Genomic DNA, 25292 nt, shown 5'->3' with positions numbered 1-25292 from the left:
CTACTTCACATCTTGATGTTTGTGATGACTGATATCCATGGTGAATTGTAGACAAAATCTTTTCACTTTCCTAAAGAAACCTGATGGTTTTTTTCAGAGATAAAATCCCATCTCAAGGCACAGCGAAATTAAAATGAGGTGAAGTTTAGGTACTCTCAGAATGTTTATTCGCATACAGATTCTTAAAAAACATGATTTATTGTAGGCAGATGTCACCTCTTTAAGCAAAAGAAAAAAACAACCAAAAAAAGAAAAGCCCCAGCCGGGTTCCGCGGCTCAAACACCTGCAATCCCAGCACTGTGGGAGGCCGAGGTGGGCGGATCACCTGAGGTCAGGAGTTTGAGACCATCCTGACCAACATGGTGAAAACCAGTCTCTACTAAAAATACAAAAATTAGCTGGCCTGTGATGGCTTGTGCCTTTAGTCCCAGCTACTGAGGAGGCTGAGGTGGGAAATCGCTTGACCCTGGGAGGTGGAGATTGCAGTGAGCCCACATCGCACCATTGCACTCCAGTCTGGGCCACAGAGGGAGAGCCTGTCTCAAGAAAAGAAAAGCCCCGTAGTTTATCATAATGTCTGTACTGGGATATGGCTGATGCTATGCATTTCTGTAAAGTAGCTTTAAAATATTTTCTCCTCTCACTTTTATCTTTTTCCTTTTTTTTTTTTTGAGACAGGGTCTCACTTGGTCACCCAGGCTGTAGTGCAGTGGTGCGATCTTGGCTCACTGCAGCCTCTACCTTCCAGTCTCAGGTGATCCCCCCACCTCAGCCTCTTAAGTAGCTGTTTTTTTTGTTTGTTTGTATGTTTTTAAATTTTATTTATTTATTTATTTATTTATTTATTTATTTATTTTTTGGAGAGATGGAGTCTTGCTCTGTCACCCAGGCTGGAGTGCTGGAGTACAGTGGCGCGATCCACCACTCCCAGCTAATTTCTTTTGTGTTTTAGTAGAGATGGGGTTTCACCATGTTGCCCAGGCTGGTCTTGGAATTCCTGGACTCAAGCAATCTGTCAGACTTGGCCTCCCAAAGTGCTGGGATTATAGGCGTGAGCCACCACCCCCGGCCACCTTTGTCTTAGTGAATGCTATTAAGTTGTTAGGTTAGTGATGTAGTCATACAACTTTTTTTTTTTTTTGAGATGGATTTTCCCTCTTGTCATTCAGGCTGGAGTGCAGTGGCGTGATCTTGGCTCACTGCAGCCTCCGCCTCCTGGGCTCAAGTGATTCTCCTGCCTCAGCCTCCCGAGTAGCTGAGACTACAGACTTGGGCCATCATGCTTGGCTAATTTTTGTATTTTTAGTAGAGACAGAGTTTCACCATATTAGCCAGGCTGGTCTTCAACTCCTGACCTCAGGTAGTCCGCCTGCCTCAGCCTCCCAAAATGCTGGGATTATAGGTGTGAGCCACCGCACCCGGCCAGATATAGACATACAACTTCTAGGAGGGACAAAGGTTGGCATATGATTCACCAGTGTTGTTCCGGGTGGTTGGCTAGATAGCTGTCTAATGGAATCCATTAAGGAGTAGGAAAGAGCAGCAAGAAAAATGGCTATTTTCACTATTTTTGAAATGGTCAGTTAACAGTTTGAGATAGATACATATACTTTTTTGAGACAAGGTCTTGCTTTGTTGGCCAGGCTTGGATTGCATTGATGCAGTAACGATTCACTGCATCCTCAACCTCCCAGGCCCAAATGATCATCCCATCTCAGCCTCCCACTTAGCTGGGCCCACAGCTGTGCACCACAATACCTGGATAATTTAAAAGAACTTTTTTTTCTTTTTCTTTTTCTTTTTTCCCGAGACAAGATCTCAGTATATTACTCAGGCTGGGATGCAGTGTCACATTTATGGCTCACTGCAGCTTTGACCCCCTGGGCACCTCAGCATGCCAAGTAGCTGGGGCTACAGAAGTATACCACCACTTCTGGCTAATTTTTGTAGAGACAGGATTTTACCATGTTGCCCAGGTCTTGAACTCGAGCTCAAGATTCACCTGCCTCGGCCTCCCAAAGTTTTGCGATTACAGGCGTGAGCCACCATGGCTGGCAAAAAAATTTTTTTGGTAGAGGCCTGGTCCCAGCGGATTGCCCAGGCTGATGTTGAACTCCTGAGCTCATGTGATCTTCCCACCAGGTAGCTGGTACCGCCATGACCAGCTAATTAAAACTTTTTTTTTGTGGAGACGGGATCCCACTGTGTTGTCCAGGTAACTCCTGGGTTCAAGCGATCCTCCCACTGTGGCCTCCCCAAAGTGCAGGGATTATAGGCATGAACCACTGCGCCCGGCCAGCTTGATATATTTAGGTATTGATATATCCAAATTGACGAATTGGTTGCCAACAGAACCTCATGGTTCTCTGACTAAATGTTAATGCTAGTCATGGCCCTAAGAACAATTTCAGATGTTCATTTAAATTTATTAAATTGTAGCAAATAATAATGAAAGTCACCATAATTTAACATCCACATGAGTATATCTTGAAAAGACAGACTAATTCATCAGCTACAACAGCAGGCATAAACTGGGATTGTCCTGGGCAACAAACTTGCCTTGTGGTCACCCTACTTAATGGCCATTTGTTACTAGATTTTGTCATTTAGACTCATACAACAGTTTCCTAAACGTTGTCCAGCTTTTTATCACAGAGATAGCTTAGATCTACGTCTCTAGGAGGTTGAATTTTTTTTTTTCAAATGAAGTTAGCCTTTGGCAGAATATAAGTCAAAGGAAAAGTGAAAATTTCCTCCTCCTAGCTCCCTCCCCCACAAATGGGAACGTGCTAGTTAAGGATGTGGTAGTTGCTGAAAATAGAGCTTGCTGGCATTCCAAATCCTCTGATGGTGTCAACACCTAGTGTGTTGGTTTTCTTATGGCTACCTTGAGCCAGTTCTGTGTTTAAAAATATAATAGACCTAGGTGTTGGTAGCAGTGTCCTAAGCTCAGAGCTTTCCCTACATACATTTTATTTTTTTATTTTTACAAGTGTCTTTCATACCAAATACCCACATAAAAATTTAAAGGCTCACCCATATCTTGTTACAACTGTTATGTTTAGAATGCCAAACTGTGTAGTTCAGACCATATGACCATGATCCTGGCTTATCTCTTCTGAAATTTTTATCTTGAATTTATTGCCCTTCCAACAATCTACCATAGTAGCTGGACGGATCTGTTGTTGGTGGGCTTGATTTGTGATCAGATCAGGATTTTATCGAGCTAAAGCAATATGAAATGTGTTTAACTCTTCATTCATATCTAAAGTTTGAAGGAGATGCATTACTGTAAGAGTTATGACAGTATTTCATCATTTGGCAGATGTGGTAAATCTGCCATCACAGAATGCACAGGAATCACTGGGTTCCTTATCTTTCAAATGGGGATTAGTGATGTCTCTCTTGCCTACTAATTTGCAGGGTGGTTATGAAATTTTGGGCTTTTGTAAACTGTAAAGTGTAATACTTGTCGGTACTATTTGTTGTGAAACATTCTTATCTAATGTGAAAGGTCAGATAATTGTTTTTGTTACTGCTGTGCTAGGATCATATTAGATGATAACCTACCTTTTTGAGTTATTCTTAGCAAGTGTAGTCTTCTGGGCTTAGTCCTTATGTAAGATATGCACAAAGAAATATTCTCAAAATCCTTAATCTTACATCTGTAAATTTGCATATCCAAAGTAAAGGTCGTCCAGATTATTCCCAAATAATAATTTTGTCATGTTGAGCTGGTATATAGTTGTTTTGATATTAATTTTAGATTAATAAGAGACTTTCTCCTTAGCAAACGTAACACCTTTTGTCTGAATTTGGGATGAAAGCTGCTGTAATATGAAAATGTAGGCTGGGTGCAGTGGCTCACACCTGTAATCCCAGCACTTTGGGAGGCCAAGTTGGGCGGATCACCTGAGGTCGGGAGTTCAAGACCAGCCTGACCAACATGGAGAAATCCCATCTATACTAAAAAATACAAAATTAGCTTGAAGTGGTGGCAGGCGCTTGTAATCCCAGCTCCTCGGGAGGCTGAGGCAGGAGGTTTGCTTGAACCTGGGAGGCGGAGGTTGCAGTGAGCCGAGATTGTACCATTGCACTCCAGCCTGGGCGACAAGAGCAAAACTCTGTCTCAAAAAAAGAAAGAAAGAAAATGTAAATAATTGGCCAGGTACGGTGGCTCACGGCTGTAATCCCAGGACTTTGGGAGGCCGAGGCGGGCGGACTACGAGGTCAGCAGATTGAGACCATCCTGGCTAACACAGTGAAACCCTGTCTCTACTAAAAATACAAAAAATTAGCTGGGCGTGGTAGCGGGCGCCTGTAGTCCCAGCTGCTCAGGAGGCTGAGGCAGGAGAATGGCATGAACCCGGGAGGCGGAGCTTGCAGTGAGCCAGGATCGCGCCACTGCACTCCAGCCTGGGCAACAGAGCGAGACTCCATCTCAAAAAAAAAAAAAAAGAAAGAAAACGTAAATCATTGTTAAATGTTCGCATTTTAGCCATCTCAGATTACTTAAGAAAAATGGTGTTAGCTATGACCAATTTTGTGAAATGTGATTCTAAAGGCATAATATAAGCCTTGGACAGTGAATGGGTTTTGATTAATAAAAAGCTACTAAATACTACTTAATCCCTGGGTTAGTCAGCTGAAGACTTTGTAGGACCTTGGAGTGGTTGTTGTGAACACCTTTATGTTGAAATTTAAGTGTTTAAATGTTAGTAGGGGCCACGTGCAGTGGCTAATAATCCCTGTAATTCCAATACTTTGGAAGGCAGAGGCGGGAAGATCCCTTAAGCCCAAAAGTTTGAGACCAGCCTGGGCAACATAGTGAGACCCTGTTTCTACAAAAAGAAACAGAATTAGCTTGACCTAGTGGCATGTGTCTGTAGTCTCAGCTACTTGGGAGGCCAAGGTGGTAAGATTTCTTGAGCCCGGGAGGTCGAGGCTGCAGTGAGCCATGATAAGACCACTGCACTCCCACCTGGGTGACATAGTGAGACCCTGTCTCAAAAAGGAAAGGAGAAAGATTTAGTGGGATTAATGACTTGTATTTGATTGTAATAGGTTTACTTGTAAAATAGTTAAGATTTATGATAGGATTACCGTGAAATTTTCAAGAACGTTATTTGACCAGAAAATATTGTCACTGTTGTATGACAGTTATGACAGTTTTTGTAGATTTTTAGAAACACATTCATGAGTATGAAATACTTAATGCAGAATATACTACTTAGGAAACATTAAAATATTAAAGTGTTGAAATTTTGATGGGGGTTTCTTAGCTCATCAAAGAATTGACATACCTGTAATCTCATTGCTTTTGGAGGCCAAGGTGGGAGGTCATTTGAGGCCAGGAGTTTGAGACCAGCCTGGGCAACATTGCAAGACTCCGTTTCTATTAAAAAAAAAAAAAAAAAGGCTGGGCATGGTTTGCTCATGCCTGTAATCCTAGCACTTTTTTTTTTTTTGAGACAGAGTCTTGCTCTGTTGCCCAGGCTGGAGTGCAGTGGCGCTCCACTTGCATCTTGGCTCACTGCAAGCTCCACCTCCTGGGTTCACTCCATTCTCCTGCCTCAGCCTCCGGAGTAGCTGGTACTACAGGCGCCTGCCACCACGCCCGGCTCATTTTTTGTATTTTTAGTAGAGACGGGGTTTCACCGTGTTAGCCAGGATGGTCTTGATCTCCTGATCTCACGATCCGCCCAACTCAGCCTCCCAAAGTGCTGGGATTACAGGCGTGAGCCACAGCGCCTGGCCAATCCTAGCACTTTGGGAGGCCGAGGAGGGCAGATCACGAGGTCAGGAGTTCGAGACAAGCCTGACCAACAGGGTGAAACCTCGTCTCTACTAAAAAAAAAAAAAAAAAAAAAAAACCAACCAAAAAAAAAAACAAAAATTACCCAGGCGTGGTGGTGGCACGTGCCTGTAATCCCAGCTACTCAGGAGGTTAAGGCAGGAGAATCACTTGAACCCGGGAGGCAAAGGTTGCAGTGAGCCGAGATAGTGCCCCTGGGCTCCAGCCTGAACGACAGAGTGAGACTCCGTCAAAAAAAAAAAAAAAAAAAAAGCCAGGTGCAGTGGCTCACTCCTGTAATCCCAGCACTTTGGGAGGCCAAGAAGGGTGGATCACCTGAGGTCAGGAGTTCAGGATCAGGCTGGTGAACATGGTGAGACCCCCCGTCTCTACTAAATATACAAAAAATTAGACGGGCGTGGTGGCGTGCGCTTGTAATCTCAGCTATTCGGGAGGCTGAGGCAGCAGAATCGCTTGAACTCGGGAGGTAGAAAGCTGCAGAATGCCGAGATTGTGGCACTGCACTCCAGCCTGGGAAACAGTAAGACTCCATCCCCGCCTACTGCCCCCACCCCCGCAAAGAAATGCTTAACACTCTCAACCACTTGAGAAAACATGTCAAACTTCTTAAAAATCTGAATGTAAAGTTAATCCTTCTACTAAACCGAATTGGACCCAAGGGTTATTTGTGGTCATTTTCTTCCTTAGTATTCCAAAACAGAATTTTAAAGTATTTTTTGTTTCAGTGTCTTTTCTAATTCCATAAAAACTGTAAAAAGATTCAGACTTTGATCTACCTGTTTTTCCTGTACTTAGTGTTTTAGGTCATTGATCTCCCCAGCCTCTTATTTTCCACCTCAGGTTTCACTGGAGCTTCACCTGTTTGGTTCTACTGCAGCCGAACGTGTTTATGAGGGAGTATCCTCGTAAATTGAGAGGAGAAATCTCCCATTCTGATGGAGCAGGGGATTACTCCCCCACCCCCAATATTTTTATTTTTGTTTTTTAATCTTTGTGTCATTCCAACTTTAGTACATGTGCTGCCAAAGTGAGCACAACCCTGCCCTAAATATTGAGACCAAAGGGAAAAGTAGCTTTTGCAGTCAAAATTGTAGAATCTTGGTAAAAGATTGTCTTGTTTTTGTTTCTTTTTAACCTAGCAAAAGCTGATTTGGAAAGGAGTCTTAAAGTTTCATAGAAGGTTACACAATTCATGTTTTCCTCTTTTTTTTTTTTTTCCTTTTGAGACGGAGTCTCACTCTGTTGCCCAGACTGGAGTGCAATGGCGCGATCTTGGCTCACTGCAGCCTCCACCTCCTTGGTTCAAGTGATTCTCCTGCCTCAGCCTCCTGAGTAGCTGGGATTACAGGCACCTGCCACCATGCCTGGCTAATTTTTGTTTTTTCTTCAGTAGAGACGGGTGTTTCACCGTGTTGGCCAGGCTGGTCTCAAACTTCTGGCCTCAGGTGATCCGCCTGCCTTGGCCTCCCAGAGAGCTGGGATTATAGGCGTGAGCCACCGTGCCTGGCTCATGTAGTTACTTTTAGAGTGAGGAGAGGTACCTCTGTATAGGCTGGTATATGAAGAGTAAAAGTTGTCCTTGAGTGTCAAGATTATTGTCTTTTGAAAAGCCTTAATCAAAGTATTAAAGTACTAAAAAACAAGTTCCCAAACTCATTTGACAAATACTTACTGAATGCCGACTATGTACCAGGCACTGTTCTAGACACTTTAGACACTTGGGATTCATCAGTGAACAAAATAGACAAAAGATCTTTTCAAGGACTTTATATTCTAGTGAATGTATGATTGCTTTCGGAGTTACTCTGTTCCTATGTGTAATTAAGAGTTAGTTTAAATTAATTAGCACCAATGGTGTCTGGTATATGCAGGGTACTGTATCAGTTGCTGGGTGTCCCATGTTAAAGACTGTAGAAAGCTCAGTGTTTCTTCACTGACTACTGGTGTAAAATGGTACTAACAAATTGAAAAACCTCTTTAAAGTGTTTCATTGTGATGAAACCCTGTAATAATAATATCATCTACTGTTTATTGGCTATTTCTTTCACTTGTTATCCAAACAGCCATGCAAAGTACTACCCATTTTACAGATAAGGATCCAGTACTTGAGGAAAAGTGACAACACATTTGAAATGTCACTGGTATTCTGCCAAGGCTGGTGCCCTGCAAAGCTGGTACTCCTTCCACTTCGGAAGGAGTTTCTTGTGTGTAAACGTCAGTCCAGACTGCTTGAGGCTTTCTTTTCTTTTTTTCCCCCTTTTTTGTGGAGACTGGGGGTCTCTGTGTTGCCCAGGCTGGTCTTTCAGCTGGGCTCAAGAAGTCCTCCTGCCTTGGCCTCCTAAAGTGCTGGGATTATAGCAGTCTTTTGGCTCAGCTTCTCTCTGAATAGTGTTGTCTTTAATGTATGAAGAAGACAGAATGGAATGTAGGCTGAGTATATTTTGCAGGTAACAGGTAATGGAACTAGTATTGGGATAGGAGCCATTAAATTCAGGAGCAGGCCACCTGCATCCTCCGTCTTCCTTCCTTCCCTCCTCCCCCACCCTCTGAAAAACCTACTTTGTTTTTAACTCTTTGATACATGCAGGGGTCCCCAGTGCCCAGGCCATGCACCCATACTGGTCTGTGGAAAAATTGTCTTCCACGAAACTGGTCCCTGGTGCCACAAAGGTTGGGGACCACTGATATTTGGGACTAGAGCTTTATAAATGGCTGGATAAGAAGCTCTGGGAACTTAGTAAATTGCAGTATGGTGTACTTTTTCGTTGTGTACCTTTTCAGTAGATGACTTTTGAGGCATGTAGTTGGGAGGCCTGGGGGACTGATCACAGGGGACCTTGGTGTTTTCCTCTAGACCAGTTGCTGGTAGATTTTCATCTTCTCAACAATGAATAACTGCACATCATTAACATGGTCTTAATGCCTTTATCTTATTGCTGCAGATTTTTTCTTAACCTTTAACTTTTCTGGTTTCAGAATGCTGCCAACATTTCTGTATTCATTTTATCTTTACTTTTTTTTTTTTTTTTTTTGAGACAGAGTCTTTCCCTGTCACCCAGGGTGGAGTGCAGTAGAGGGTGAGCTTCAGCCAAGGAGTGTTATGGTCATGCCTGTGAATAGCCACTGCAAGGCAGCCAGGGCAACATAGGGAGACTCCTCTAAAAAGAAAAAACAAACCTGAAACTGATTTTAAAAAAAATTTCTTTGGGAGGCCAAGGCAGGCAGATCATCTGTGGTTGGGAGTTCAGGACCAGCCTGACCAACATGGAGAAACCCGTCTCTACTAAAAATACAAAAAAAAATTAGCCAGGCTTCGTGGCGCATGCCTCTAATCCCAGCTACTCCCAGGAGGCGGAGGCAGGAGAATCTCTTGAACCCGGGAGGCGGAGGTTGCAGTGAGCCGAGATAGCGCCATTGCACTCCAGCCTGAGCAACAAGAGAAAAACTCTGGGCTGGGCGCAGTGGCTCACTCCTTTAATCCCAGCACTTTGGGAGGCTGAAGCGGATGGATCATAATGTCAGGAGTTCAAGACCAGCCTGGTGAAACCCTCAAAATACAAAATACACTCCATTATCCTGCCTCAGCCTCCTGAGTAGCTGGGAGTACAGGTGCCTGCCACCATGCCTGGCTAATTTTTTTTGTATTTTTAGTAGAGACAGGGTTTCACCGTGTTAGCCAGGATGGTCTTGATCTCCTGACGTTGTGATCTGCCCGCCTTGGCCTCCCAAAGTGCTGGGATTACAGGCGTGAGCCACCGCGCCCGGTCGAGCATAAATCTTTTTACATGTGTACTCTTAATGTTTTGAGATGTGGTCTCACTCTTGCCCAAGCTGGTGTGCAGTAGCAGACACACCTCACTGCAGCCCTCACCTCCTGGGCTCAAGCAATCCTCCCACCTCTGCGTCCTGGGTAGCTGGGACTACAGGTGTGCCCACCATGCCTGGCTAATTTATTTTTTATTTTTATTTTTTTGAGACAGGGTCTTGCTCTTTCTCCCATGCTGGAGAGCAGTGGCTGGATCTTGGCTCACTGCAGCTTTCGCCTCCTGGGTTCAAGCAGTTCTCTGCCTCATCTTCCCGAGTGGCTGGGATTACAGGCACCTGCTTAACGCGTGGCTAATTGTTTTGTATTTTTAGTAGAAATGGGGTTTCACCATGTTGGCCAGGTTGGTCTTGAACTCTTGACCTTGTGATCCACGTGCCTCGGCCTCCCAAAGTGCTTGAATTACAGGCGTGAGCCACTGTGCCCAGCCCTCTTCGGCTAATTTTTTAAATGTGTGAAGAGATGGGGTCTTGCCATATTGCCCAGGCCGGTCTTGAACTCTTGGGCTCAGGAAATCTTCCCACCTCAGCCTCCCAAAGTGCGGAGATTGCGGGAATACTCTATTTTCTGAAAAGGTTTATTAACTGTTTATAATACTAGCAACTTACGATTGTGCAGCACAAAATTTAACTAAAAACTTGTGTTTTAAAAAATTGTTTAAACAAGGGCCGGGTGCAGTGGCTCACACCTGTAATCCTAGTACTTTGGGAGGCCGAGGCGGGTGGATCACCTGAGGTCAGGAGTTCAAGACCAGCCTGGCCAACATGGCGAAACCCATCTCTACTAAAAATACAAAAACTTGCCGGGCGTGGTGGCACGTGCCTGTAATCCCATCTTCTGGTAGGGGCTGAGACAGGAGAATTGCTTGAACCCGGGAGGTAGAGGTTGCCAGGAGCTGAAATTGTGCCACTGCACTCCAGCCGGGGCAACAGACCAAGACTCCGTCTCAAAAAAAAAAAAAAAAGTTAAACAGTATGTGAAATAGTTTTTCCATTTCTTTTTTTAAACGGAGTTTCGCTCTTGTTGCCCAGGCTGGAGTGCAATCGCGCGATCTCAGCTCGCGGAAACCTCGTCCTCCCAGGATCAAGCAATTCTCCTGCCTCAGCCCCCAGAGTAGCTGGGATTACAGGCATGCGCCACCATGCCTGTCTAATTTTGTATTTTTAGTAGAGATGGGGTTTCTCTATGTTGGTCAGGCTGGTCTCGAACTCTCGACCTCAGGTGATCCATGTGCCTCGGCCTCCCAAAGTGCTGGGATTACAGGCGTGAGCCACCACGACCAGCCAGTTTTTCCACTTTTGTTTTGCCTTTTTTTTTTTTTTCTTTCTTGAGACGGAATCTTGCTTTGTCACCTGGGCTGGAGTGCAGTGGCATGAGGTCAGCTCACTGCAACCTCAGCCTCCCAGGTTCAAGCAATTCTCCTTCCCCAGCCTCCCAAGTAGCTGGAATTACAGTCATATGCCAACACACCTGGATAATTTTTGTATTATTAGTAGAGATGGGGTTTCGCCAGGTTGGCCAGGCTGGTCTCGATCTCCTGACCTCAAGTGATCCGCTGGCCTCAGCCTCTCAAATTGCTGGGAATACAGGTATGAGCCACCGCACCTGGCCTGTTTTTCATTTCTTACTGCAAAAGATGAATTTAAATGTAAAGTCAGCAGTACAGCCATATCAAGTAAATAATGAAAACTACTGGCCAGGCGTGGTGGCTCACGCCTGTAATCCTAGCACTTTGGGAGGCCGAGGCGGGTGGATCACAGGGTCAGGAGATTGAGATCATCCTGGCTAACATAGTGAAACCCCGTCTCTACTAAAGATACAAAAAAAAAATTAGCCTGGCCTGGTGGTGGGCGCCTGTAGTCCCAGCTACTTGGGAGGCTGAAGCAGGAGAATGGCCAGAACCCGGGAGGCGGAGCTTGCCGGTAGAGCTTGCAGTGAGCTGAGATTGCGCTGCTGCACTGTAGCCTGGTCAACAGAGTGAGACTCCATCTCAAAAAAAAAAAAAAGGCCGGGCGCGGTGGCTCAAGCCTGTAATCCCAGCACTTTGGGAGGCCGAGGCGGGCAGATCATGAGGTCAGGAGATCGAGACCATCCTGGCTAACACGGTGAAACCCCATCTCTACTAAAAATACAAAAAATTTGCCGGGCATGGTGGTGGGCGCCTGAAGTCCCAGTTACATGGGAGGCTGAGGCAGGAGAATGGCGTGAACCCGGGAGGCGGAGGTTGCCGTGAGCCGAGATTGCGCCACTGCACTCCAGCCTGGGTGACAGAGCGAGACTCCATCTCAAAACAAACAAACAAAAAAACTACTACTTATGCCGCAAGTAACTTGTCAGTGGTTTGAGTCTCCTTTAATAACTTTTTCTTTGCTCCAGTGCCTATATATCTGTGTTTTTTTTTCCTTTTCTGTCTGCCTGTCTTTTTTTTTTTTTTTTTTTTTTTGACATAGTGTCGCTCTCTCGTGCAGGCTGGAGTACAGTGGGCCAGTCTGGGCTCACTGCAGCCTTGACCTCTCACGTTCCAGTGATCCTCCCACCTCAGTCCTATGCCTGGGACTGCAGGCATGCACCACCAGGCCTGGCCAATTTTTGTATTTTTTTGTAGAGACAGGGTTTCGCCATGTCTCCTAGGCTGGTCTTGAACTCCTGAGTTGAAGCGATCCACCCGCGTTGGCCTCCCAAAGTGCTGGGATTACAGGCCTGAGCCTTTGCGCTCGGCCTTCCTCAGTGCATTTATGTTACGTTTTGATTAGTTGATAGTTTGAAATTCCCCTCCCCCCTTTACATGCATTCTTGAGCCTTTCGTGTTTTATTTACTTATTTTTTTGAGTTTATTGATTTATTTGGAGATGAGTCTTGTCCTGTTGCCCATGCTGGAGTGCAGTGACACAATCTCAGCTCACTGCAACCTCCACCTCCCGGGTTCAAGGGATGCTCGTGCTTCAGCCTCCTGAGTAGCTGGGATTACAGCCACCACGCCTGGCTAATTTTTTGTGTTTTTAGTAGAGTCGGGGTTTCTCCATGTTGGTCAGGCTGGTCTCGAACTCCTGACCTCAGGTGAGTCACCCGCCTCAGCCTCCAAAAGTGCTGGGATTACAGGCGTAATCCCACCACACCCGGACTAATTTTTGTATTTTTAGTGGAGGTGGGGTTTCGCCATGTTGGCCAGGCCAGTCTGTAACTCCTGACCTCAAGTGATTGTTAGCCTCCCGAAGTTCTGGGATTACAGACGTGAGCCACTGCGCCCAGCCTCTTGGACCATTTAATCAATATGTATTTCTTTAGCATGTATGGGGAACAACTTTCCCCTTGTGAGTAATAAAATCGTTACTTATAATACCTACTATGGAAGAGTTACAGTCTAATCAGGCAAGCTGTGGCTAGAAACCAGAATGATGATTTCTAGCTTGTATAATACAGGAATTGTAGAGAAGGGGAACAAGGGATTGTGTGCTGCAGTTGTCGGGGAAAACTTGAATAGTAGGTGAGACATTAATTGGGGGATAAGATTTGGATGTTGGGAGAGTGAGGTTCTTTGGATATGTTACCAAAAGCACAGATATGGGATTAAATATATGAGATGTAAGAATGGAAAGTCTGGGTTAGAAAAAATGGAGCTGTATTCTGCAAAAGGCTTTATTAGACTTAGATTCTAAACGCTGTGTTCTTTATTTAGCTCTTTCCTACATCAGGCACATTAACACCCCCACCCGTCTGGATTCCGGTTTTGTTTTTTTGTTATTTAATCTTGGAAGTGAGGCGAAGAAAAGAAATTAAACATTTAATTGAATTCATATTATATGCCAGACAATTTACTCTACAATCTCATTTTAAACTCTCATAACTCAGGGCTGGATATCCTCCATGTTATGGATGAGGAACAAGCTCCTAGAGATTATGTGGCATACTTGAGGTCAAATAGCATATGAATAAGCAGGAATGAAAATCTAGTCTGGGCTGGGCGCGGTGGCTCACGCACTTTGGAAGGCTGAGGCAGGCAGATCACCTGAGGTCACGAGTTCGAGACCATCCTGGTCAACATCGTGAAACCTCACCTTTACTAAAAATACAAAATTTAGCTGGGCATGGTAGTGTGCGCCTGTAATCCCAGCTACTTCGGAGGCTGAGGCAGGAGACTCTTGAACCCGGGAGGCGGAGGTTGCAGTGAGCCGAGATCGTGCCAGTGCACTCCAGCCTGGGCGACAGAGTGAGGCTCCGTCTCAAAAAAAAAAAAAAAAAAAAGTCTAGTCTTCTAGTCTGAAACTCTTTGCTGTAAGTGTGGTGTTTGCTGTGCTGTGGTGGGACTTTCCTGTGCTGTTTCCCAAAGTGTGTGTCATTTTTGTCTAATAAAAGTGCACGTGGTATGTGGGTACTACAATAATAGTCAAAGTTAGTAGACTAGAATAGGGCCTCTTCAGAAAAGCTTCTGAGTACTTCCATTATTTTCTGTTTACAGCATTCTGGTTCTTTCACCGTACTGAACACAAAGTATAATTTACATGTCAACCAACTAATCCTGTTCATTTTACACAATTTTAAATCTTTGCTTAAATTAAAACAAGTTCCAGGAGTGTTTCCTAAATCTTGTCCAACTGTTTACCTCAAGTACTCCTTCCTTCATAACTCATCGTAACACGCTCCAGGGTACATCCCAGCCTTTTGCTCATCTTAATTGAGTAGAACTAGTGATCACTATTCTTGCATTTTGTTTTTCTAAGAAAATATGATTTAAGACTCCTCAAGCTACAGATTTGACATTTTGTTACATTCTTAGATTCTTTCCATGTTATTTACTATTAGAATTAGTGTAGTTGATAGTTTTTTTCGTCATTCGAATTAGAAGTTTTGCATGTATGAAATCTTCTTTTGAGGCAGAGTCTTGCTTTCTTTGCCCAGGCTGGAGTGCAGTGGCGTGATCACAGCTCATTGCAGCCTTGACTTCCTGGGCTCAGTTGATCCACCCACCTCAGCCTCCAGAGTAGCTGGGACTATAGGTGTGTGCCACCACGCCCGGCTAATTTTTTATATTTTAGTAGAGATGGAGTTTTGCCGTGCTCCCCAGACTGGGCTTAGACTCCTCAGCTCAAGCAGCCTGCCCGCTTCATCCTCCCAAAGTGTTGGGATTACAGGCGTGAGGCCATGTAAAATCTGAAGTGTGTCTTAACATCCCATAGGGCTCTTAGGTGATTTGGAAGTACACTGACATGAGTATAGTCAACCTTAAAGTGATGACATCGCAAACTTTAAGCAGGCTTCAAGCAGCTGAATTAATTATGATAAAATTAAAATTGCCAAATTTGGGCAGAGATTTAATGTTTAAAAACCAGTATAATTCAGGTTAGCCATCTGAGAATGTTTTGTAACTTTCTTGGGGATCATACTGAATTTCTTTTTTTTTTTTTTTGAGACAGAGTTTTGCTCTTGTCGCCAGGCTGGAATGCAATGGCATGACCTTTGCTCATTGCAACTTCCTTCGCCTCCCAGGTTCAAGCGATTCTCCTGCCTCAGCCTCCCGAGTAGCTGGGATCACAGGTGTGTGCCACCATGCCCAACTAATTTTTGGTATTTTTAGTAGAGACGGGATTTCACCATGTTGGCCAAGGCCGGTCCTGAACTCCTAACCTCAGGTGATCCACCCGCCTTGGCCTCTCAAAGTGCTGGGATTACAGGCGTGAGCCGCCGTGCCTGGCCTGTACTGAATTTCTTTTATAGTAAACGAGTAGTATTGCTCCTGAAATGGTCTGAGTCAGGCTTTTTAGACATGCTTTTTAGTACAGAACTGATGCTTCCCAGATTATTTGTCAGTGTGATAGAGAAGGTGCGTGATAATCGTTTTAGAAAAAATTTTGCTCCATCTTTATATTTCTGAATAGTAACAAGAGAGTTGTCATGTGACTAGCAAGATATTGGGACCTTTTAGAAATCAGTAAGGCAGAATGTTGATTGTCATGAATTATCTGTGAATTGACTATGTTTAGTGATTGTCAAGCTTTTGCCTAATTTTATTCATTCCTTGGAGGTTGTCCAAGCTGAATCAGATTATTTGAAAGCCACACAATTCCTGAGCATTCTCATATGTCAGCCTTCTGCAGAAATGTCCTCAGTTATTTCATGGGGTCAGAAGTATCCAATTGAAGACTGCTTCTCACATGTAAATCTAGGCATACATTTTCTGTGATGACTCCTTTTTAAGAAAATATCCGCAAGGTAAATTTCTTAGTAAGTAGCACCTTGTAAGTTTCTCTCCAACAAACTTGCATACTATCCCCTCCAAACCATAAAAACAATTTGAGACTTTTATTTTGAGACGGAGTCTCACCTCTGTTGCCCAGGCTGGAGTGCAGTGACGCGATCTTGGCTCACTGCAACCTCCGCCTCTCGGGTTCAAGCAATTCTCCTGCCTCAGCCTCCCGAGTAGCTGGGATTACAGGCACCCGCCACCATGCCCAGCTAATTTTTGTATTTTTAGTAGAGACGGGGTTTCACCATGTTGGCCAGGCTGGTCTCGAACTCCTGACCTCAGGTGATCCACCTGCCTCGGCCTCCCAAAGTGCTGGGATTACAGGCATGAGCCACTGCTTCCAGCCAGGAAGTCTTTACATAGTAAGACATTTGAGTTTGATCCAGAGGGATGATGTTTCCTAGGAAAAAGGAAAGGTCATTGGCTAATTGATTAGCCTTTATATAAAGCAAGCTCAGGACCTTTCCAGAACCTAAGTGACTGAACTCTTTCTTTTTGAGAGACAGAGTCTTGCTCTGTTGCCCAGGGTGGAGTGCAGTGGCATGATCATAGCTCACTGTGGCCTCGGACTCCTGGGCTCAAGCGATCTTCCTGTCTCAGCTTCTGGAGTAGCTGGGACTGACTACAGGTGTGAGCCACATTTCCGGTTCTGACAGAACCTTTTTATGTCAGTGCCTGATGCTGTGCCCTTTTCTTCCCTTGGTGTGATTGCTTTTACTGTTCTTGGGCTAAGGAATTTGTTTCTGTGAGCACTCTGGTTGCAAAGTCATTGAAGTGTGATGGCTAAAAGCTCAGACTCTTAAGTTAGATTGTCTGGGTTTGAGTTTGGGTTTTACCATTGTGTGACTTTAGGAACATTACTCTTAGCTTCATTTTTCTGCCCTTAAAATCAGGATTAGGGCCGGGTGTGGTAACCCCTGCCTGTAATCCCACCACCTAGGGAGGCCGAGGCAGGTGGATCACCTGAGGTCAGGAGTTCGAAACCAGTCTGGCCAACATGGTGAAACCCTGTCTTTACTAAAAATATAAAAATTAGCCGTGCACGTTGGCGGGCACCTGTAGTCCTAACTACCAGGGAGGCTGGGGCAAGAGCATCACTTGAACATGGGAGATGGAGGTTGCAGTGAGATTGCACTTCAGCCTGGGCAACAGAGCTAGACTCTGTCTCAAAAAAAAAAAAAAAAGTTAGGGTTATGACCCTGTGTGCTTTGGTAAGAGGAACATTAATCCTGTCAGCCAGTACAGAACCTGCTCGTTTTTCCCATGGCAGATTCTGAACAGTTTGCTTTTTTCCTGACCCTGAATTTCATTAGGAGCTGTAAATTGTGCCTTGTGACTTGTCAGCCTGATAGTTGGAGACCTGCTCCTTTTATGATTTTGTACTTTGTGTTTATCAGAAACTGTTGAAGCTCAGCAGAGACTTGTTTTACTACCTGGCAAGGACAGTCTTGGGAAAATCAGGTTTACTGGGATGTTGATGTAAAGATATTAGAGGTATGAAACTAAGCTTTTTGTATTCAGGAGGCTGAGGTGGGAGGATTGCTTGAGCCCAGGAGTTGGAGACCAGCCTGGGCAACATACAAAGACTCCCGTCTCTTTAAGAGAAAAGAATAAAGTAAGCTTTTTTTGGGAGAGGGGTGAACCTCTAGGTGGAAAAAGAAATGCGTTTTAAGCAGGAGTGAACTTCTTTCCTTCTTTTCTTTTCTTTCTTTCTCTCTCTTTCTTTTTCTTTCTTTCTGTCTGTCTGTCTGTCTTTCTTGTCTTTCTGTCTGTCTTTCTGTCTTCGTTCTTTCTCTCATGGTGGCAGACGCCACCATGCCTGGGTCTCAACCACATTTTAGTATGTGAAACTTGTTTCTCTGGTAGAGTCACTGAAACCAGTTATTTCCCCTCTATTGTCACAGAAGCAAACAAAAGGATCCTCGTACAGATGCATTCAAATAAATATTCAAATCTGAGGCAATATGATTAAATCAAAGCACAACTCAAGTCAGATTCCCTGAGTTGTAGTCCACTGGCTTTGTGATCTGGAACAAGTTTAACCTTCGTGTTCTTCAGTATATGGAGATATTCTAAAATGGGATAATACTGGTACCCACTTCAGAGGTCTGTTGAGAAGATTAAGCACATTAATACAGCGAAGCATTTGGAACAGTGCCTATTTTAGCATGGGGGGTTTTATTTGTGAATAAGTCTGTTGAATGAACAACATAGTTGAAATGGGGTGTTTTATTTATGAATTAGTCTGTTGAATGAACAACATAGTTGAAAGAACACAACCACAAACCAAACCTCAGTTAACAAGTCAAGGGGAAAAACTTGTGACTCTACTGGCAGCAGCAGATGATGGGTGTCCCAGACACAAGCTGGTTCCATGTGGTGGATCTGTGTCTAGGCTATTACCATACAATGAAGGGAAACTTACTTGGAACTAAAGAGACTTAACTATGTTTAATTAACTTGTGAGGAGTATGTTTTTCAGAGTGGCGATTTTAATCACCCACCCTTGTCCCCAAACCATGAAAAGTCCCAGAAATTCGATTTTGTTACTCAAAATTACTGTAGCAAAACTGCCCGTGGATCCAAAAGAAGTGATTTCAACCATTTCAGTTTTTTGGTTCTTAAATTGCGATCCCACCTGCTGCAAACACATGACAGCCTTCCCCCACCCGTGAAATGCCCACATCCCACTGATAAAATACTTGCCGCAAAGGTGATTTCAGGAAATGCTAGTTGTGTTGAGGGCCTTTATGTGAATATAATGGTTGGAGTTCATCCTCTACTGAGGGAGGGCTGAAGGGTGTAGTTAGTCTAGAGTTTTGGATAAATCAGCTTTTCTTATATAGTTTTGGGGTACATTATCATTAGTATTATGTTTCTGTTGCTGGTGTTAAAAGGATAAAGATGACAGTGATATTGGAAGAGAGTGTCATTGTAGTCGTTATTTGTACAAACTGGTACAAAGCACTGGTCGTAGAATGTTTGGAGAGATTGAGAAGTTGACTTTCCATACTCTTGAAGGAGTGATGTGCTTGGTAGTGTGCACCTATAGTCCCAGTTACTTGGGAGGCTGAGGTGGGAGGATCACTCGAGGCCAGGAGTTTAAGGCTACATAGTGCGCTGTGATCATGGGCCTGTGAATAGCCACTGCACGACATACAGTCAGGGCAACGTAGTGAGACCCTGTCTCTTGAAGCAATAGAAGTGTCTCCTGACTCAATGCTACTTCTGTTCCTTAATCTGCTACCTTAAGGGATGCAGAGGGGGTTGGGGGAATTAAGAGGAGTCAGTGGGGTTTTAAAAATGAACAACTCCTACATACCAATAATGAAAAGACAAATAATTAAATATTTGGCAAAGTGTTTGAATAGATATTTCTCCAGAGAACATACGCAAAAGGCTCATAAGCACATGAAAAGGTGTTCAACACTATTAGTTATCAAGGAAATGCAAATCAAAACCACAAAGAGATACAGCTTCACACCCACTAGGATGACTAGTTTAAAGAATAACTAACAAGTGTTCCTGAGGACGTGGCCAGATTAGAATCCTGTGTTGCTGGTGGGAGTGTAAAAACGGTGCCGCTCCTGTAGAAAAGTTTGGGATGTCCTTCCTCAAAAAGCTAGTTACCATGTGATCCTGAAGTTCCTTCTAGGTGTATACTGAAGTGAACTGAAAGCATTTATTCATACAAAAACTTAAAGAACGTTCGTAGCAGCATTGTTTATAATAGTCCAAAAATGGAAACAACCCAAATGTTCATTAACTAACGAATGGATTTTTTTTTTTTTTTCCTGAGACCAAGTCTCGCTCTGTTGCCAGGCTGGAGTTCAGTGGCACGATCTCGGGTCACTGCAACCTCCGCCTCCCGTGTTCAAGCAGTTGTCCTGCTTCAGCCTCCCGAGTAGCTGGGATTACAGACATTCGCCTAGACATCATGGCAGCCTAATTTTTGTATTTTTAGTAGAGACGGGGTTTTGCCATGTTTTGGCCAGGCTGGTCTGAACTCCTGACCTCAGGTAATCCACCTGCCTCCCAGAGTGCTGGGATTGTAGGCGTGAGCCACCGCACCTGGCCTAATGAATGGATTTTTAAAGCATAGTATATCCATACAGTAGGTGAAGTACTGATGCATGCTACACTAGGCATGAAACTTGAGACCATGCTATGGGAAAGAAGCCAGTCACAGCCGACTCCATACGGTAGGTTGTGTTGGGAAAGAAGCCAGTCATGGGAGGCTCCATACTGTATGGCTCTGTTCGTAGGTACACCCTGTTTGATTGTGCTTCACAGATACTACATTTTTACAGAACAAATGGAAGGTTTCTGGAACCCGCTTTGAGCAAGTCTGTTGGTGCCATTTTCCAACAGCAGGTGCTCACTTCTTGTCTCTGTTCACATTTTGGTACCTTGTGCAGTATTTCAAACTTTTCTTTTTTTTTTTTGAGATGAAGTCTCACTCTGTCACCCAGGCTGGAGTGCAGTGCCACGATCTCTACTCACTACAAGCTCCGCCTCCCGGGTTCACGCAATTCTCCTGCCTCAGCCTCCCGAGTAGCTGGGACTACAGGCGCCCGCCACCATGCCTGGCTAATTTTTTATTGTATATTTAGTAGAGACGGGGTTTCACCGTGTTAGCCAGGATGGTCTCCATCTCCTGACCTTGTGATCTACCCTTCTTGGCCTCCCAAAGCGCTGGGATTACAGGCGTGAGTCCACCTCGCCCGGCCTCAAACTTTTCATTACATGTTAATGGTGGTTATCTGTGATCAGTAATCTTTGACGTTACTATTGTAATTGTTTTGGGGATCCGTGAACTGAGGGAAATTAATTGATAGATGTGTGTATTCCTTTTTTTGCTTGTTTTTTGAGACTGAGTTTCGCTCTTGTTGCTTAGGTTGGAGTGTAAGGGCGCCATCTTGGCTCACCGCAAGTTCCGCCTCCTGAGTTCAAGCGATTCTCCTGCCTCAGCGTCCCGAGTAGCTGGGATTACAGGCACGCGCCCCCATGCCTGGCTAATTTTTTTGTATTTTTAGTAGAGACAGGGTTTCTCCATGTTGGTCAGGTGGTCTCGAACTCCCGACCTCATGTGATCTGCCCGCCTTGGCCTCCCAAAGTGCTGGGATTACTGCGTGAGCCACCATGCCTGGCCTGTGTTCTTTTACTATTAATTTTTGGAGACAGGGTCTCACTCTGTCACCCAGGCAGGAATGCTCACTGCAGCCTTGACCTCCCAGGCTCCAGCAATCCTCCTGCCTCGGCCTCCTGAGAAGCTGGGACGACAGGCACACATCACCATGCCTGGCTAGTTTTTGTATTTTTTGTAGAGATAGGGTCTCACCTGTTGCCCAGGCTGGTCTTGAACTCCTAGGCTCACATGATCTTCCTGCCTTCGGCCTCCCAAAGTATTGGGATTACAGGCGTGAGCTCTTGTTTGTGTTCTGACTCCCTGTCTCTCTCCCTCCCGTTAGGCTTACCTATTACCTGAAACATAACAATATTTAAATTAGGCCGATTAACAACCCTGCAATTGCTTCTAAGTGTTTAAGAGAAAGGAAGAGTCCCAGTCTCTCACTTTAAATAAAAAGGTAGAAATGATGAAGCTGAGTCAGGAAGGCTACCTTAAAAGCCGAGACACGGTCTGAAAGCTGGGCCTCTTGCACCACAGTTGTGAATGCAAAGGAAAAGTTCTTCAAGGAGATTAAAAAGTGCTAGTCCAGTGAACACAGCAATGATGAGAAAGCAAAACAGCCTTCTTGCTGACAGAAAGTTTTGGTGGTCTGAATAGAAGATCAAACCTGCCATACTATTCCCTTAAGCCAAAGCCTAATTCAGACCAACCCTCTAACTCTCTTCAAATTTAAGAAAGCTGAGAGAGGTGAGAAAGCTACAGATAGAAAGCTGGAACCTAGCAGAGGTTGGTTAGTAAGGTTTAAGGAAAGATGCCATCTCCATTACTTAAAAAGTACAAGGTCGGCTGAGCGCGGTGGCTCACGCCTGTAATCCCAGCGCTTTGGGGGGCCGAGGCGGACGGATCACGAGGTCAGGAGTTTGAGACCAGCCTGGCCAACATGGTGAAACCCTGCCTGTACTAAAAATACAAAAAATTAGCTGGGCGTGGTGGCAGACGCCTGTAATCCCAGCTACTCGGGAAGTTGAGGCAGGAGAATCGCTTCAGCCCAGGAGACGGAGGTTGCAGTGAGCTGAGACGTTGTGACAGCACTCCAGCCTGAGCGACAAAGTGAAATTCTGTCTCAAAAAAAAAAAAAAAAAGTACAGGGTCAAGTAGCATGTGCTGATGTAGATGCTGCAGCAAATTATCCAGATTTAGCTAACATTATTGATGGTGACCACACCACTTAGATTTTCAGCGTAGACAAAACAGCCTTGTGTTAGAAGAAAATGCTGTCTAGGACTTCACTTAACTAGAGAGAAGTCAGTGTGTCTAGCTCCATAGGACAGGCTGATGCAGCTTCTTAGGGACTAATGCAGCTGGTGAATTTAAATTGAAACCAGTGCTCATTGACTGTTTGAAAAATTTGAGGCCTCTTTAAGAATCATGCTAAATTTACTCTGCCTGGTTTATAAATGGAACAGCAAAGCCTGTAAGACAGCACTTATGTTTACAGCATGGTTTTCTGAATATCTTAAGCCCACTGTTGAAGCTTGGTACTCAGAAAAAAAAAAAATTCCCTTCAATGTATTACTGCACATTGAAAATGCACCGAGGTTGGGTGCAGTGGTGCACATTTGTAATTTCAGCACTTTGGGAGGCCGAGATGGGTGGGTCACATGAGCACAAGAGTTCAAGACCAGCCTGAGGAACATGGCAAAACCCTGTCTTTACAAAAAAATAATAAAAATTAGCTGGGCGTAATGGCGTACACCTGTAGTCCCAGCTACTCAGGAGGCTGAGGTTGGAGGATCGCTTGAGCTGGGGAGGTTGAGGCTGTAGTGAACTGAGATGGTGCCACTGTATCATCTTGGGTGACAGAGTGTGACTCTGTTTCAAAACACACACACACTACCACACACTCACACACAGTACTTGGTCACCCTGGAGCTCTGATGTAGTTGTGTAAGGAGAGCAATGTTTTTTGATTTTTTATTTTTTGAGAAGGAGTCTCGCTGTGTCGCCCAGGCTGGAGTGCAGTGGCACTATCTCAGCTCACTGCAGCTCCGCCTCCCGGGTTCACACCATTCTCCTGCCTCAGCCTCCTGAGTAGCTGGGACTACAGGCGCCCGCCACCATGCCCGGCTGATTTTTTTTTGCACTTTTAGTAGAGACGAGGTTTTCACCTTGTTAGCCAGGATGGTCTCCATCTCCTGACCTCGTGATCTGCCCACCTCGGCCTCCCAAAGTGCTGGGATTACTAGGCGTGAGCCACCGCTCCCAGCCTGCAATGTTGTTTTTATGCCTGTTAACACAGCAGGTAGGCAGATCACCTGAGGTCAGGAGTTTAAGACCAGCCTCACCAACATGCTGAAACCCCGTCTCTACTAAAAATAGAAAAGTTAGCCGGGCGTGGTGGCGCCCACTTGTAGTCTCAGCTACTTGGGAGGCTGAGGCAGGAGAATTGCTTGAACCCTGGAGGCAGAGGCTGCAGTGAGCCGAGATTGTGCCACTGCCTGGGCTACAGAGCAAGACACTGTCTCAAAAACAAAAAACAAAAAGTTGTTCTGGCCAGTCGCGGTGGCTCACGCCTGTAATCCCAGCACTTTGGGAGGCCAAGGCGGGCGGATCACAAGGTCAGGAGATCGAGACCGTCCTGGCTAACATGGTGAAACCCCGCCTCTACTAAAAATACACACAAAAAAATTCACTGGGCATGGTGACGGGCGCCTGTGGTCCCAGCTACTCGGGAGGCTGAGGCAGGAGAATGGCGTGAACCTGGGAGGCGGAGCTTGCAGTGAGCCGAGATCACGCCCAGGCACTCCAGCCTGGTGACAGAGCGAGACTCCGTCTCAAAAAAAAAAAAAAAAAAAAAAAAAAGTTTTTCTGTGGGTAAATGCTGTCCAACAGCGTCAGATGCTACAGAGAAATCATGCAGGAAAGGAAAAGCCCATCAACATGGCAGACTTCATTGTCTTGCCACGGCCACTCCAGCCTTCAGCAGCCATCACCCTAAGCAGTCAGTAGCCATCAACATCAAGGCAAAAACCTTCCAACAGCAAAATATTATCACTTGCTGAAGGCTCAGATGAGCATTAGCATTTATTAGCAATAAGGTGTTTTTAAATTATGTACAGTTTAGACATAATGCTGTTGTACACTTAATAGATTACAGTGTAGTTTAAACATAACTTTTCTATGCACTGGGAAACACAAAAATTCATGTGACTTGCTTTATTGCAATATTTTTTTTTGCAGTGCTCTGGAACTGAACCCGCAGTATCTTCCAAGGTATGCCCGCACCTGAAATGTGCATAAGAGACAAGTGTGTAGAGGCGGAAAATAGATTGGTGGTTGACCGGGCTGGGGTTCGGGTACATGGGAATTGATGGTTAATGGGTTTGGGGCTTTTCTTTTTGAAGTGATGAAAATCTAAAATTATGATGATTGCAGAATTCTGTGAATATACTAAAAACCATTGAATGGTACAGTTTATTTATTTTTTGGAGACGGAGTCTCTCTCTGTTACCCAGGCTGTAGTGCAGTGGAGCCATCTCGGGTCACTGCAACCTCCGCCTCCCGGGTTCAAGCAAATCTCTTGCTTCAGCCTCCTGGTTAGCTGGGACTACAGGCGCCTGCCACCATGCCCAGCTAATTTTTGTATTTTTAGTAGAGACGGGGTTTTACTATGTTGGCCAGGCTGTTCTTGATCTCCTGACCTCATGATCCACCCACCTCGGCCTCCCAAGGTTTACAGGGGTGAGCCCCTGCTCCCGGCCGAATAGTACACTTTAAATGGGTGAATTGTTAGGTAGGGGAATTATATATAAATAAAGGTATTATTAAAGGGATAATTGTTGCTTCTATAATTTTACCACACAGTCTGTGCATTGTTTTGTGTATATGTAAAAATGAAAGCATTTATGCTTGAATCTGGAACAGTAGAGTATCACTGAGTGTTACAAATATATTTCTCTTTGCATTATAAAAATACTAAGTCTTCGTTGTTGAAAATTTGTAAAGCACAGAAATTTGAACAAAATTAAATCATAAGGAATGATATTCGAGATATGTAACTTAAATTTTTGGTAGTATTTGATGTCTGCATAGTTTTTCTGTATGTAATATTGTAAAGCCTTAAAAGAATTAATGGCACTGTTTTTGTGTAGCTGGGTTACTTAAGATTTACTTTGCGATCAGTTTAGAAAGTTTAATTACAGGCTTACCTCTGAGTTATGTTTGACTTGCTGATTTTTGAGAATTAAACTAGTATGGAGGTACGATTACCTATTCCACTGC

The 25292-nt window shown here is 44.6% G+C and overlaps 1 protein-coding gene across 2 annotated transcripts in view, besides 1 other annotated feature; it reads left to right on the top strand.

The window, feature by feature from the left end:
* The window catches only part of YWHAE (tyrosine 3-monooxygenase/tryptophan 5-monooxygenase activation protein epsilon), a 55948-nt gene that overhangs the window by 6230 nt on the left and 24426 nt on the right, over positions 1-25292 (top strand). The window contains exon 2 of one of the 2 annotated variants that reach the window (NR_024058.2): positions 24252-24284. The exons of the other annotated variant lie outside the window; for it this stretch is intronic. The gene's annotated coding sequence lies outside the window, so the exon portion shown is untranslated. The remainder of the gene's footprint in view (positions 1-24251; positions 24285-25292) is intronic. 2 annotated transcript variants of the gene reach the window in all.
* Positions 1553-2081: an enhancer, noted in NCBI's record as "H3K27ac-H3K4me1 hESC enhancer chr17:1295206-1295734 (GRCh37/hg19 assembly coordinates)". NCBI's record gives its function as "activates a minimal SCP1, AML or CMV promoter by ChIP-STARR-seq in naive H9 embryonic stem cells {active_cell/tissue: H9 hESC(naive)}" and the evidence as "EXISTENCE:reporter gene assay evidence [ECO:0000049][PMID:30033119]".

Source organism: Homo sapiens, chromosome 17, assembly GCF_000001405.40.
Source record: "Homo sapiens chromosome 17, GRCh38.p14 Primary Assembly".
Lineage (NCBI taxonomy): Eukaryota > Metazoa > Chordata > Mammalia > Primates > Hominidae > Homo > Homo sapiens.
The sequence above is the reverse complement of the archived record's forward strand: the minus strand, read 5'-3'. Positions and strand labels throughout refer to the sequence as shown.